Raw genomic sequence first — 14121 nt, forward strand, 5'->3', positions numbered from 1 at the left:
GGGTTTTTTTCATTGCCTTATGAGAACTCTTTGTATAATAAGGATATTTTCTCTTTGCTTGTGAGAAATATTACAAAACATATTTTTCTTAGGGTTACCATATGTCTTTTAACCTTATTTATGATTTCTTTTGCTGTATAGATCTTAATTTTTGTGTAGCCAAAATCGTCAATTTTTTAATAGTTTCTTCTTTTCATGATATATTTAGAGAGGTTTTCCCTACCCCAAGATAAAGGAAATATTTACCCACATATTTTAGTTCTTTTCTGTTTTCGTTTAAATTTTTTATCCATCTGGAATTGGTTTTTGTGTAAGGTTATACTGGCCTAATGTTTCCGATGATCCAGATACGTATTCACAGCTCTTCAAACAAAAAAAATATTAGAAAGCCCTCCATGTCTTGCTCATCCAGCCTATTAGACTTGGAACTCTTGGTAAGATTTTTGGCTCAAACTTTTCTTCAAGCAGGGAGATAATTCGTCTTTCAAGTCTTGCCTCTTTTTCATTTCCTGCTGGGCATTGTAAACAGAAATCCTTGCTTATGACGACAAAGTACTTTAGGCAGAGCGGGTGGCAATAAGGATTTGGCAGCTGTGATCTGTCAGGACAGAAATCACTGATTTATTGGCTGTAGCTACACAGGGGAAATAAAAAAATGAGGGTTGTATATCCAGTCTCCTTCCCCAATGTAGATGAATGGTCTGTGTGACCAATCGTTACTGATATTCTGAAGGAGAAGGGGAGGTACATCTCACATTTGGGGCACATGGGAATCACTTGGGGGACTTAAAAACATACTGAATCCCTAGGCATTGTCTTCATTGGTTCTGATTTAATTGTTTAGGGTGGAAATAAAGAATCAGTATTTTTTTTATTAAAAAATCTTCTGAGATGACTCTCATGTGACCCAAATTTGCTTTAGATACTTGAATCATTTCTCCACTTATTTTTGATCGTGTGGTTTGTCTTATGCTGGTGACCTGACATCAAAATTCATATAGGTTAATTCTGCTCTGACTGCTTATTTCCAGTGACATTGGGCTACCTCATAATTCTTGACTAAACTTTAGTTTCAAAGGCTTATCTAGCAAAATTTAATTTTATTATTTATTATTCAATATGCTGCAGAGTTCCTTATGAACACCACCAAAAAGACTGGTGTTTCTTTTTGCTGTTATAAACAAACAAAATTCTAAAGCCTGAAACACGACAGTAATGTTGGTAAATGCTTTATCATTTGATGCCACCTTTATCTTCCATACTTTAGTGGGTGGAAAATTGTCAAAAAAAATAGAAAATTTTTTGTTTTCCTAGGCTGTTCTGTCACTTTTCTCCTTAGCCTTTTTTCCCCTTCTGTTATTGTCACTCAGCCTCCCTAAACAGGTTTATAATTATTAATCCAAATAATAAAGTCCTTAATAAAAAGGACATAAAACAACAAAAGTCACTTTTTAGTGTTATACGAAGAAACCAAATTGCGATAAATCCAAGTTGACAGCATAGATTTTTAATATTTGATGTTTCATCATCTTGAATGTGCTTGCGTTGCCTTAGCCATGACAGGTATTGGTGGCCTTGGCAGCCCTTGCCCCAAGTTGCTGAAAGACATAAAATGCTGATATTACAAATTGTGGTTGGCTTTTAATTTTTTTTAGAATCTTGCTCCTATGGTCTGATTTCTTTTAGTAAAAAATATGTTTTACTATTCTGGGACTTGTCCTAATTTCTTGACTTTAAAAAAACATGGGCCAAACACGGGCCATCCTTGGTTTAATTGTATACCCTAATACAAGCTGAAAAATATTCACAAATGTTTTTGGATATCGATTTTGACTTCACTGCTGTAAAGTAAAGCAAGCTATTTTGTTTATTATCATTGACTTGCACGTGATGCAAAGGAATGGAAAGAAGCGTCTCTTAATGGCCGTAGTGTTGCCGCCTAAGACTTTTCTGTTGATTTAAAATTTACTCTGGGAAATACTGTAGACCTAAAGAGGCTTTTTTTTACCTGTTTCTTCTGAAGACTAATTTTTATCTTTTCACATCATTTCTTTTGAATTTCTTTTTCTCTCCTTCGTCTCTTAAAGGAAAGAGAAATAATAGAGAGAGGCTGAAAAGAAGGTGGTGAAAAGCAGCCAAGGAAAAGAAATCAACATTAGATTGTATCTCTGCTTTATATGAGACTCTGTTCTTAGCTCTTTACATATTATTCTTTCATTTTATCCAAATAATTATCCCGTGAAGTAGCTATTGATTTTACAGAAGAGAAGTAGGATTTAGAAAGGTTACCCAGTTGGTCACTGGTAGAACTGAGATTTAAATTCAGATGTCCCTGACTCCAAGACATGCTCTTTGTGCTGAGCCACCTGGAAGAGACCTTAGAGATTATCCAGTCCAACCTCCTCATCTTTTTTTTTTTTTTTTTTTTTTTGAAACTGTCGCCTAGGCTGGAGTGGAGTGGCGTGATCTCAGCTCACTGAAACCTCTGCCTCCTGGGTTCAAGCAATTCTCCTGCCTCAGCCTCCTGAGTAGCTGGGACTACAGGTGTGCACCACCATGCCTGGCTAATTTTTGTGTTTTTAGTAGAGACAGAGTTTCTCCATGTTGGCCAGGCTGGTCTCGAACTCCTCACCTCAGGTGATCTGTCCACCTGAGCCTCCCAAAGTGCTGGGATTACAGGCGTGAGCCGCTATGCCCGGCTGTCATCTAATATTTAAATAAGTACAGTACACATATGGTTGCCATGTATTGAAAAGGTTTTTATCAGTCAGAGACTATGCTAAGCACCTTACATACATTATCTATCTAATGTGCATACTAACTCCAGGAAGCATAGGTAGGTTAAATAACTTGCTTAAAGTCATTGATCCAGGAAATAATATGGTATAGATGTCTATCTGGGATTGTCTAACTCCAGAGTCCGGTGCTCCACTACAGTGTCTCAATTTTTCCTCTCCATAAAAATACTGAAATTTACTGAGGTGAAGTGACATTTCTAAGACCATCAGCTCTCTTTGGCAGAACGGAGCCCAGACTCCAGATTTCTGACTGCCAGTTGTTTGCTCTTTCTACTGTTCCACAGTGGTGTCACATCAGAAGTGGAATAAAATGAAAGCCCAACCAAAATGGACTAGAGCACTTTGTGGCATCCTATTGCTCCACACCTCAGAGCTTAGCTGTCTGCAGCCTCATAAATTGCTAGGGAATATGTTCCTCTGAGAAATCAGGTGTAGAAATGCCTTTATGAGTTATGGCTTTTAAAAATACACATATCCACACATTGTTTTCCTTTTTGTATGAGTGAACACTGAATATAATAAATCAGAAAAGAGGTTTCTGATAGTTCACCTTATAAATTGCTTTAAACTTTACAGTTAAACTACAGTTATTCATTACATGTTATTTTTTAAATTTCTGTATTGTGAAGAGGAAGATGTCAAATAGTTCTTTTCTCAGAAATACTGGAAACATCTCTAAGTTTAAGCAAGTTTCCAGTGCAGTGTGTATAATAAATCACCTGTCTGTGTTTCAAGATTGTCAGCAACAGAATGAAAACTGTAGCACTTACCAAAGGATCAAGTACTGAAATAAAAATATGCCTTTTAACAGTCATATGGCTTCCATAAATCAAAGTGGTTTTCTGGAAGAAATTGGTTGTTATCTTTACCGAATGAGCAACAATGCCTGTTGACCTTTGATAAGTGGAACCTAGAGTGTCATTTGGGTCTTGCTTCTTGGTTCCTTTAACATTTGCTGAGTGTCTACAGACCACATGTAGAGATGGTGGATAGCATGATGAGAGAAAGAGAAACATGGATGATGCCAGAAGACCCTGTTCTTATCCTCCCCAAGATTAATAGCTATGTCAAATCAAGTAGAGAATGCAAAAATCTCTTCTTTTGTATTGCTCTTTTCCCCTTTATATTCTCCCTTACACTCAGTCAGTGCTGTTTTGATCCATAGTAGTGATAAGAAATATCACTCTTTGCTTAATAAAGAATGTTGTAGTATATCTGCCTATCACATGCACCCAGAGTGTAGCTTGTCCTGCCACAGGAAGCATTCAAGCTTCTACCTTTCATCTTATGCATACACTGGTGTAAGTTGTAAAAAAGAAAGATAAATTATAAAGACATAGAAAGCCCACTGTCTATGCACAAGGGTTGAAATCCTAGTCTGTGGTACACCTTTTATCCTTACCAGGGGTGAAGTCTGGTTGGGCAAGTACATACACTAAAGACCCAAAGACTTGTTGTGTCACATTGAATGTGAATTTGTTCATATCACTTAACTCCCTTGAATCTCAATGTCTAAATGTTTCAGAAATCAAGGCAAATGCTATTTGTTGGCCTAGGATAACCTTTTTCTGTCTTCTCTGCATAAATACATCTTGGTTCTGCTGCCCTTCCTTGTTATTCTGGTTTCTGTCCCTGTGAGGAAGAATGAGCAAGATAGTCTCTCTACGGAATGGCTATAAATAATGAGATGGTACCCTTCAGCCATGTGCTGGACCTACATCCATGTAAATGGAAGTCCTTATGAGACCTTCCTGCCAGGCTTCAAACCTAGATTTGTGTATGAACTGGAGTTGTTCTGGATTGTTTCAGAGTGTGTGTATTTGCCATGAGAGAAGCCAATCTTACTATTTAATTGTCAAGTCTTGTTTTTTATCCACCGTCATCCCAACTACATTATTATCTAGTGCTGCTCTAAAGGATTTTTGTTTGTTTTCTGAATTGAATTCCACCCTTAAAATAGGAGGATGTGCTATTGCTAATGTCAATCTATGGAGAATGTTGCTGTCTCTGAAGTAGTGTTGTAAGAAATATTTTGAGTAATTATTGTAATAATGGTCTCCTAAGCTTTTGAGTGGCACTTACTGTGTAAGTTTTGTAAGTTGATTTAAAAAACAATTTCTTCATAATCATTTTATGTATATTGTATTTTCTTTAAAAATGATAAGTGAATGAGAAGTTGCTGGAGAACTTTTGGGACAGTGGTAAGAGGTGGCCTAGTGAGGCTGACAGATGGATAGGTTAACTCGGAGGTTGAGGGTCACAGGAAATGACTGAGGGACACTGCAGATTCCCCAGAAATCCACTCTGCTCCAGTCAAGGGGTCATTTCAATTAAAAGGCTTATTTTATGTGGCATAAATCATACTTCTAACAACATGTAATTTATTGTTTAATTGAAGAGAGAACTCTTCCTATACCAAGAGATCACATGATTTTGCTCCACTGTTTTATCTACCACTGCATATATTATTGTGTCCTTTAAAGCTATAGAATTTCTTTACTCATTTGAAAATGTTTTATTTTAAAAGTTTTAATGTTCAGATTTATAGCTTCATGTATGAATAAAGGGTTTCTGTCATCTTTTTATGTTTAAAAATCATGTCTTCATAAAATATTATTTTATGTCTACAAAAGAACCTTCCTACAAATACACATGTGCTTGTCTATAGGTTGGTGCAAAAGTAATCGCGGTTTTTGCCATTACCCTAATTATTTTAATGGCAAAAACCACGATAACTTTTGCACCAACCTAACTACTAACTAAACTAATAACTAAAGTTTGAAATAATGAAAAAATAGGAAACAGCCTAGTTTGTCATCCTTGAAAGCATTGGTCCTGAGTGACGTGATTAGGAAAGTTAGGATCGTTTTGTAAGTCAGTGATCCTCGTTGACACGTCACCTTTGTTTTTATTATTCTAAAGGAAAATGATGGGTTGATTTCCAGAGATGTAACTAAAAGGAAATGTGGCCATAAAAGACTACTTATTTATGTTCCAGCACATATATTTTCTCTAGAAATAGTTAATTGAAGCTCTTCTATAAGTTTACATTGGACAATGAAAATGTAATGAGAATGTCTTTTGAAATTGGTGTCTTAGAAATTGCAGAATGGAGGACAAATCACTTTTTTGGTCCCCTTTGTGCCCCTCTCTATTTCAAAGGTGTTTCTCTAGGAAAAAAATAGCTTTTGTACATAAAAGAGAGCTACTGATAAGTGCCTACTATGTGCAAGGCGAAATCAGGCTAAACACTGAAAGGAACCACAAAGAGGAAATTGCCACCAAAAGTACCAAGTCACTTCTAACCATTTGATTCTGACGTGTAGAAGCTTCAGTTAGTATTTTAGTAAGGATCGGAGCCACCTTTTGCCTTCTACACACCAGCCATCATAGTAATTATAGTGCTTTAGAGCAGGTCGACCCTTGGAGTAGGGAACCATGACTAAATTGTAGGTGAAATAAATGTGAAATAAGTGGTGGCAATATGCATATGGGTAAAAGACTTTGTTCTTCATTCTTGATATGTTTGCTAAGACCCTCCTAATAGTATATTCACGTGGCTTTATTTGCCTAGTGACATCACAAATGAGAAGAAAAAAGATGTGTTTCATTTAACATCTATATTTTCTTTATTTTAGGGCGTGTTGGAGAGTTTCCTGGGCACTGCTGTCTCTGGAGCCATCTTTTGCCTTTTTGCTGGTCAACCACTCACTATTCTGAGCAGCACCGGACCTGTCCTAGTTTTTGAGAGGCTTCTATTTAATTTCAGCAAGTATGTACATACATATTTAATTGCAAATTAGAATTGCTTAATTGTAGAACCTTTATAGGCTAGATAGAGCATAGAATAGTGATTAGGCAGATCCAAGAATCACTCAGAATACTGGAATGTTCAGATGTGAGAGGTGAAAGGGCCTTAGCAATTAGGTAGTCACCACTTGTTTCAGATGTGATTCGACTGAGGCTCTTATGTTGTGTGTATCCTTGCTCCCTTCCCACTTACTCTCTTTCCCATTGTCCTGCCCTGTGCTCTAGGGGCTGATGCCTGTGGACAGCAACACCCATGCCCCTTTGCCTTCTGGCTTCCTCTTGGGTTTGGCTAATGGGGAGTACCAACAAGACGGGAAGAGAGAGAGAGAGAGAGAGAGAGAGAGAGAGAGGGAGAGAGAGAGAGGTCTGAGTATGTCTGCCTTTCCCCAGCTCACCGTCTTTGTTTTAGCACAGCATTCTGGCAGTGCTTATCCCCGAGGACTTTAGCCCCTGTCAAGTGGCTCATCCACCTTGACTCTAGCCCTCACCAGGCTCTGGTAGCTCTATTCCTTCCTTGGCCTTTTCAAGCCTGAAGTTAGTAGTGGCTTCCTGCTGTTGATGGTCCCTGAGTGCCTTGCCATTTGTTATTACTTCAGAATGCCTTCTATTTCCTGCCATAATCCTGACTGACATGCTAGAGAAATTAAATTGATTAAGTTCACATCATTCAATAATGAAAGAGACTGGATGCTCTTTACTTAGTCCACTGCTCCTCACCCCAGTTTCATGTTCTTAACTAAAGATAGCTTCCAAAACTCAGCTGAATAAATACCTAACATTTATTGAGAGTTGATCATGTACCAAGTATTATCCTAGGCACTTTACATGTACTAACTCATTTAATTCTTACAGCAATCCTGTGAGGTAGGGACCACATCCTGATTTATAGATGAAATAACAAGCACAGGAACAATAAGTAAATTGCCTAATATTATATCACAAGTCATCGGTGGGGCTGGGATATGAATTCCTGCTTTCTGACTCCAGAGTCCAAGTCTCTTCAGGAATCACTAGAAGTTTCTAATGGACATTGCAATTATGATATCAGCATTTTCTTTTAGAAATTTATGGATCATTTTAAGAAGGGGAAACGTGAGTTTCCCCAAGTGGCCACATTAATACACAAATAGATTCAAAATCAAATTGGGTATTCCAGCCTCTTTCTAATGTAGTTGATACCTCTAAGAGAGAATTGCCTTTACTGGCAGATCTCAATCCTTAGGTAGATTGAAGAATGTCTCATGGCCTGCTGGCACTCCTTGTTGGCATTCCCATAGTCATATTGTTATACATTTTTAGGATTTTAATTTTAGAACTGTCATTACCTTCATAGTACATCATGGACTTATGGACTCATATATAGCCTTTGAAAGTATGTGTGTTATCAAAAATAGTCATAAGATGGAGGAGGGAATGAGGATTTAAAACCAGCTTTTTGAAAACAGGGTTGAGGATATCAGCAGGAGTCTTTTGAGAATGTAAAAAGTTCCAAATTTTAAGTAGTGTTGTGAATTTTCTGTAGGTAATTATTATTATAAATCCCTTCTCTATCATAATTCTCAGAAGAACATTGGAAAGAATTTTATTCATGTTAGTTTATAGAAAGAGTCAAACAGTTTTTATATGTTTAAGGAAACATTGTGTGAGACAAGAAAGCCTTTGTGGAAAGATTAAACAAGGATGTACTATAAACAGGAACAAACATGCACAAACTTTGCAGAAAGATTTATTGGATGAAATGTGATCAGAGCCTTAATCTACAGAAAATGTTTGCATCCCAGTTTGTTTTAAGTAATTGTGAGATACAGATTATTTCCTTTCACTAAGCAAGTTCCTTTCTCGTTCTCCCTTTTTTTTCTATCATAATTGGTAACATAACATAGTTCCAAGTGATTTATTTGAAAACAGTTGTACATCAACAAGAAACATTTGAGAAGCCATGCTTTAAATCCATCACTTAGTAATATGTGGCAAGCGTTATTTTAATCTCAATGCTATATCATTTGTTTATGTTATAGCAGCAGCAGTGATAATCTTCTGTCTAGATACAAAATATTTGGGTAGATCACTATTTCCAAAAGTGTGTTTCATCAATTACTAGACTCATTCCATGCTCCATGAAAAAAAAAAACCTCTGTGGTCCCAGTAAGTCTGGGAAGTGCTGTATACTATATACCCCCCTCTTGGTAGTTCACTTTAGACTTTAGCATGCAAGTGATCTGAAAAAGTCCTTCAGTTAAGAACTATTTTACTTTGTCTTGCCCAGATTTTCCCCAACATATTTTACCACTGTTGAAGAATAGGTAGATCCTTGCTTTGTAGGTTCACTGGACTCAAACTCTGCATAATCATGGATTTATTTCTGAGGTTTTGATATTTGCCCTGTAAACTGGAGAATTATAAAGGAATATGAATGATATGCTGCCATCTCTTAAAATCAGTAATAGAAGGAAGAAAATAGCTCACAACTTTTCAAAGATACTTGTAGTTTTATTTCCCAAATTCTGCAATCTGTTTTGCATTATTTTTACACATTTTATCACAATAATAATTAGATTCCTTCTTTTTACTTGGGTGAGGAATCTGAAAGATGTTTCAGCAATGTGTTCTAAGGTATATAAAAACTTCACAATTAAGGTTGGATTTTAACTTGTATTATTATCATTTGGTCATTCAGTATTTTTCCCTATATTCTTTAAACAGTTTACTTTTAAGCCTTCAAATTTTTAATTCGTCCATGATATTACCGGATGTATTTTTTTAGGGAGTTTATATTTATTTGTCAGTGGCTGCACATTAATTTCTGTAGCATATTTCAGATGTGACTTCTTCAGTTTGTCTTGTATCCTTGGTTTTATGCTACTGAGAAACTATGACTCAAAAAATCTAGGAACACTGAGTGGTACCATAATGATATGAATCTATTTTTTCCTTTTAATTCACCATAATTTCTTCTTTGATCTCTAATATCATTTCCTGTTGCTTTTTAAAACTTAATTGCTGTTTAAATTTGGCACCAAGGGAATTTATTGGATGTAATAATACCATTTTACTGTAATCATTACTGATGATCAACTTATTTACATTTTTCTCATCCCTTATTCCTCTTTCTTCTTGATGCTCTACACATATCACTTTCATAATGAAGTGCCATTGGTTTTATTGACTTTATTTGGGTCATTCTTGTTGAACTACTGTAGTATTGCTTAAGTCTTTTAAAGCAGCTAGTTTAGCATATTGTTTAGATTCTAAGGTTTAAGTTTATACATGTATCTTTTCCTTTGTACCCAAACTAATGTTGTTCCTAACCATTAGCTAGTTAATGGATTTGTTTCTCATCCTATCCTGTAAACATTAAATCTATAAACAACTACTAGCATTCTTAGAACAAATCAAGATTGCTCTTTCATCTTCTTGCTAGGGTAGCAAAACTAGGTAATTGTTTAAAATTTTTATTTTAATTTAAGGAAAAAGTATGTTGTCTCAGAAGTAACAGAACTGTATTTCTTAGTTGTTATTCTGACACTGACTCATTGTATGATAATGTAAATTATATCAAATTTCTAGAACTCAGTTTTTTCTATAGTTTACTTATCTCACATAGGCATGCATAGGATGAAAACAGTGGTGTTCCGGACACAAAGCAAACTGCAAAGGAAAGTAAAAGTTATCTTCAGAAGGATCCCATAAAGTCTATTGAAGATAACTTTACCCCAGTATTAATAATCTCCTTCTTCGGTAATGTATTTCAATTTGCATGATTAGATAAGAAGAGAAAAACAAAAGACATTGACTTTAATATTCACCCTCTCTAGAGCTAAATACAAATCAGATGGGGAATCATGCTACAATTTTTAAAAGGAAAATCTAAGAATCAAGAGATTTGGTTTCTGGTCAAGCTCTGTCAGGAAAGGCCTTAAAACTCTGATGTTGGATAAATGATTTAACTTCCATTGGTCTTGGTGTCTTTATCTATAAAATGAGTTGTAATTTGACAGATTGGTGTCTGTATTAGCCAGTGTTCTCCAGAGAAACAGAACCCATAAAATGTGAGTGTGTGTGCAGATTTATTATAAAGAGTTGGCTCATGCAATTATAGAGGCTGACAAGGCTGACAGGCTGGAGACCCAGGGGAGCCAATGCTCCTATTTGAGTCTGAAGGCTGTCTGCTGTAGAACCAGGAAGAGCTGATGTTGTGGAAGTTCAAAGGCAGTCTGCTGGAGAATTCTCTGCTGCCCTGGGGAAGGTCAATCTTTTTTGTTTTATTCAGGCTTGCAACTGATTGGATGAGTTCCTCCCACATACTATGGAGGGTGATCTGCTTTACTCAAAGCCCACCAATTTGAATGTTTATTTCTCAAAAGACACCCTAACAGAAACACCCAGAATAATGTTTGACCAAATGTCTGGGTGCTTCGTAGCCTGGTCAGGACATAAAATTAATCATCACAGTACCTAAAGAACTTTAAATTCTAATATTCTATAATTTTGAGCTATCATAGGAACAGTCATGTCTTGGTTGCATGAGACATAGTTCATAGGTCAGTGTCAGTAACTGTCTCAGCCAAGTCTTAAGTTACAGACATGCATTTATTCATCCTGCAAGTCTTTATTGGGCACTTTCTATGTGCCAGGCACTGTGCTAGGTAAAGAATTTGAATTTTATTCTAAGGGCAATGGGAAGCTATTGAAAGATTTAAGCTAGGGTGTCTGACTTTCATTAAAAGGGATAATTTTGGCTGTGGTGTGGAAAATGGCTTTGAGTGAGGCGAGTATAGATATCAGTAAGGATATCAATGAGGGGGTTTGTATCAGGCAAAAACTTACCTGTGGGTTGGGTAAGATTGGGTTGGTGCTGGTAGAGGTGGAGAGTTGACTGCCTATGGGAAAGTTTTAAGATATATCATTAGCAGTTATCAGAAACTCATTGTCTAAAAGCAAGGTTCTAGAGTGTCAAGCATGCACAATCCTTGACTTATTTCTTATTCTCATGCAAGTAATACCTACTACCCGCTTTTTCGTCACAAATAAATAGAGTTTAAAAAATCATTGTAAAGCACTCTCCACATAATTTTAAAGGGATCAGTATAAAATGGTAAGACATTAACACTTGACCCATCCTTTCAGAGTTGTGAATCTTGAACTATTAATCAATCAGTTGTAAGAAATGGGAAAGGCCTCAAAAGACAGTGATCTCCTTAGATAGAAGTAGCCTATTCTAAGTCTGCTGTGGGACAAACACAGAAAGATGTTGGTCGCAAGATGCTTCACACCCAGCTTCAGCAGAAGAATATCAGATCTGTGAGCAAGCTTCATAAGAAGTGGAAGGGTCTGGCAGTAGCATGGCAAGACAGCCTTTCTTGATCTGATGACAGATCATATTTCTAATTCCACCTCATGTTGGTGGCACACTGTCCACACACAGTGAGCATTACAGGCCATCTTGTGCCACGTTATCTTTTTAACTATTTTTTCCTCTTCCTGGCCTTGCTCTCTCTGGTCTGTCCAGAAAGTTTCTACTACTTATCCTTGAACACCTTGAATTTTTTCTGCGACTTCATCTTTCCTTCCAGCCAGAATTAGTTACTCCTTCTTCTGTAACATTATCACTTAGTATTTTATAGTGCGATTACATTTATCGATTTGTTTCCCTCAGTAGACCGTGATGACATAGGGACAGAAAATATATTGATCTTCATGTCTTTATGAACCCATAAAACTCATACAAACGTTTATTGAACACATTCTAGGTACCAGTGCTATGCTTGCAAATTGTTTACTCTATAAACTCTATGAAGGTAGGGACCATATTTTTTGAATGAGAAAAATAATAAGGTTTTCACATATAAATGATATAACTACTTTCAATGCATTTTCCTCAAACTTTTATTGCTATTTTAAAAATTGTATCATTAAACTAAATTCTTAAACTTAGTGCTTTCTGGCTAAAGTAGAGTTTCACATTTAGTGGCTAAAGGTGATCTTGTATTTTTGTCAATCTTTCTGTAGACATTTGGTAGTTTTATATTATTCTTTGTGTTCCAAGGAGGAGGAATCTAAACATTTTTCTTTCTTTTTTCCAGGGACAATAATTTTGACTATTTGGAGTTTCGCCTTTGGATTGGCCTGTGGTCCGCCTTCCTATGTCTCATTTTGGTAGCCACTGATGCCAGCTTCTTGGTTCAATACTTCACACGTTTCACGGAGGAGGGCTTTTCCTCTCTGATTAGCTTCATCTTTATCTATGATGCTTTCAAGAAGATGATCAAGCTTGCAGATTACTACCCCATCAACTCCAACTTCAAAGTGGGCTACAACACTCTCTTTTCCTGTACCTGTGTGCCACCTGACCCAGGTGAGGGCATTACGCTTTGTGTTTATGCTCGCTTTGTATTTGGAGGAAGGTGTAGGCTCCATGCTTGCAAATTTTCAACATGCTGTCATGGTCCTCAGGAATTAGTCTTGTTTTTTTCTCTGAAAAACTCTGCTACTGAATTTGATGTCTCATTGCCTGAGGTATTTTAGCTGTATGATTCAACCAGGAAGGAGACCAGGAGCTCTGGAATGTGAACATAACCAACTCAATATTTTGAAATTAACTCAAACTGTGGGATTTGCAAGGAATTCATGTGTACATTATTCTTGATTTTATAAGTGGGGAAACCTGGATACATGTATTAACAGATATAAATATGTGACAAACCTATCCTTTGCTGCTTCTTTATTGGTGTAGGAATGTCTTCCTTTAAGTAAACCTTTAATACATGATTTTAAACTTATAGAAGAAAAAGATACTAATCCACTTCAGATAATTTAAAGAATTAAATTATGAAAAAAAGAAATTCAGATTGGAATTGCCTACTGGTAGAATTTTATAGTTTATCTCTACTAGACAAATAAGAAAAGAAAGGAAGAGAGAAGAAGAAATGAAAGAAGGAATGTGATGTTCTAGGAGTAGATTTATATTGTAGAATCCAGAAGGACATAACAGCAAAAGTAACTCCTGGAAAGGAATGTGATTCTCTATATCTTAGCCCTTTAAAATCTATCATACCAAACATGAGTTGACATCAGAACTTTTTCACAAAAAAATAAAAATAAAAAAATGTTCAGCTTGGTCTTTGGAATTCTTTCTTGGAGTAATTCCATTATAAAATTCCATTTTATAATATGAAAGGCATTTCAAAAAAGGATTTACTTTGAGGGAAATTGTTTTAGATCTTCTCTCATAGAAAAAGGAATAGGGACTGGGTGTGGTGTCTCATGCCTGTAATTTTGAAATTAACTCAAATTGCAGTATTTGCAAGGAATTAAAGTCTGTATTATTCTTTGTACAGCACTTTGAGAGGCTGAGGCAGGTGGATTGCTTGAGCCCAGGAGTTTGAGACCAGTCCGGGCAACATTATGAAACCCTGTGTCTACAAAAAATAGAAAAACCAGCCGGGTGTGGTGGCACGTACCTGTAGCTACTCAAGTGGCTGAGGGAGTAGCAAGACCCTGTCAAAAAAAAAAA

The 14121-nt window shown here is 36.3% G+C and overlaps 1 protein-coding gene across 13 annotated transcripts in view, besides 1 other annotated feature; it reads left to right on the forward strand.

Annotated features, from left to right (window-relative positions):
* The window catches only part of SLC4A4 (solute carrier family 4 member 4), a 509424-nt gene that overhangs the window by 397348 nt on the left and 97955 nt on the right, over positions 1-14121 (forward strand). For all 13 annotated transcript variants that reach the window (XM_024454268.2, NM_001440628.1, NM_001134742.2 and 10 more), the window contains 2 exons: positions 6437-6570; positions 12692-12963. In XM_024454268.2, coding sequence (XP_024310036.1) covers positions 6437-6570; positions 12692-12963 — 406 coding nt within the window. The remainder of the gene's footprint in view (positions 1-6436; positions 6571-12691; positions 12964-14121) is intronic.
* Positions 12479-13678: an enhancer, noted in NCBI's record as "MED14-independent group 3 enhancer chr4:72338203-72339402 (GRCh37/hg19 assembly coordinates)". NCBI's record gives its function as "activates an origin of replication core promoter dependent on BRD2, BRD4, P300/CBP and CDK7 cofactors, and independent of MED14, by STARR-seq in HCT116 cells {active_cell/tissue: HCT116}" and the evidence as "EXISTENCE:reporter gene assay evidence [ECO:0000049][PMID:35650434]".

This window comes from Homo sapiens, chromosome 4, assembly GCF_000001405.40.
Source record: "Homo sapiens chromosome 4, GRCh38.p14 Primary Assembly".
NCBI lineage: Eukaryota > Metazoa > Chordata > Mammalia > Primates > Hominidae > Homo > Homo sapiens.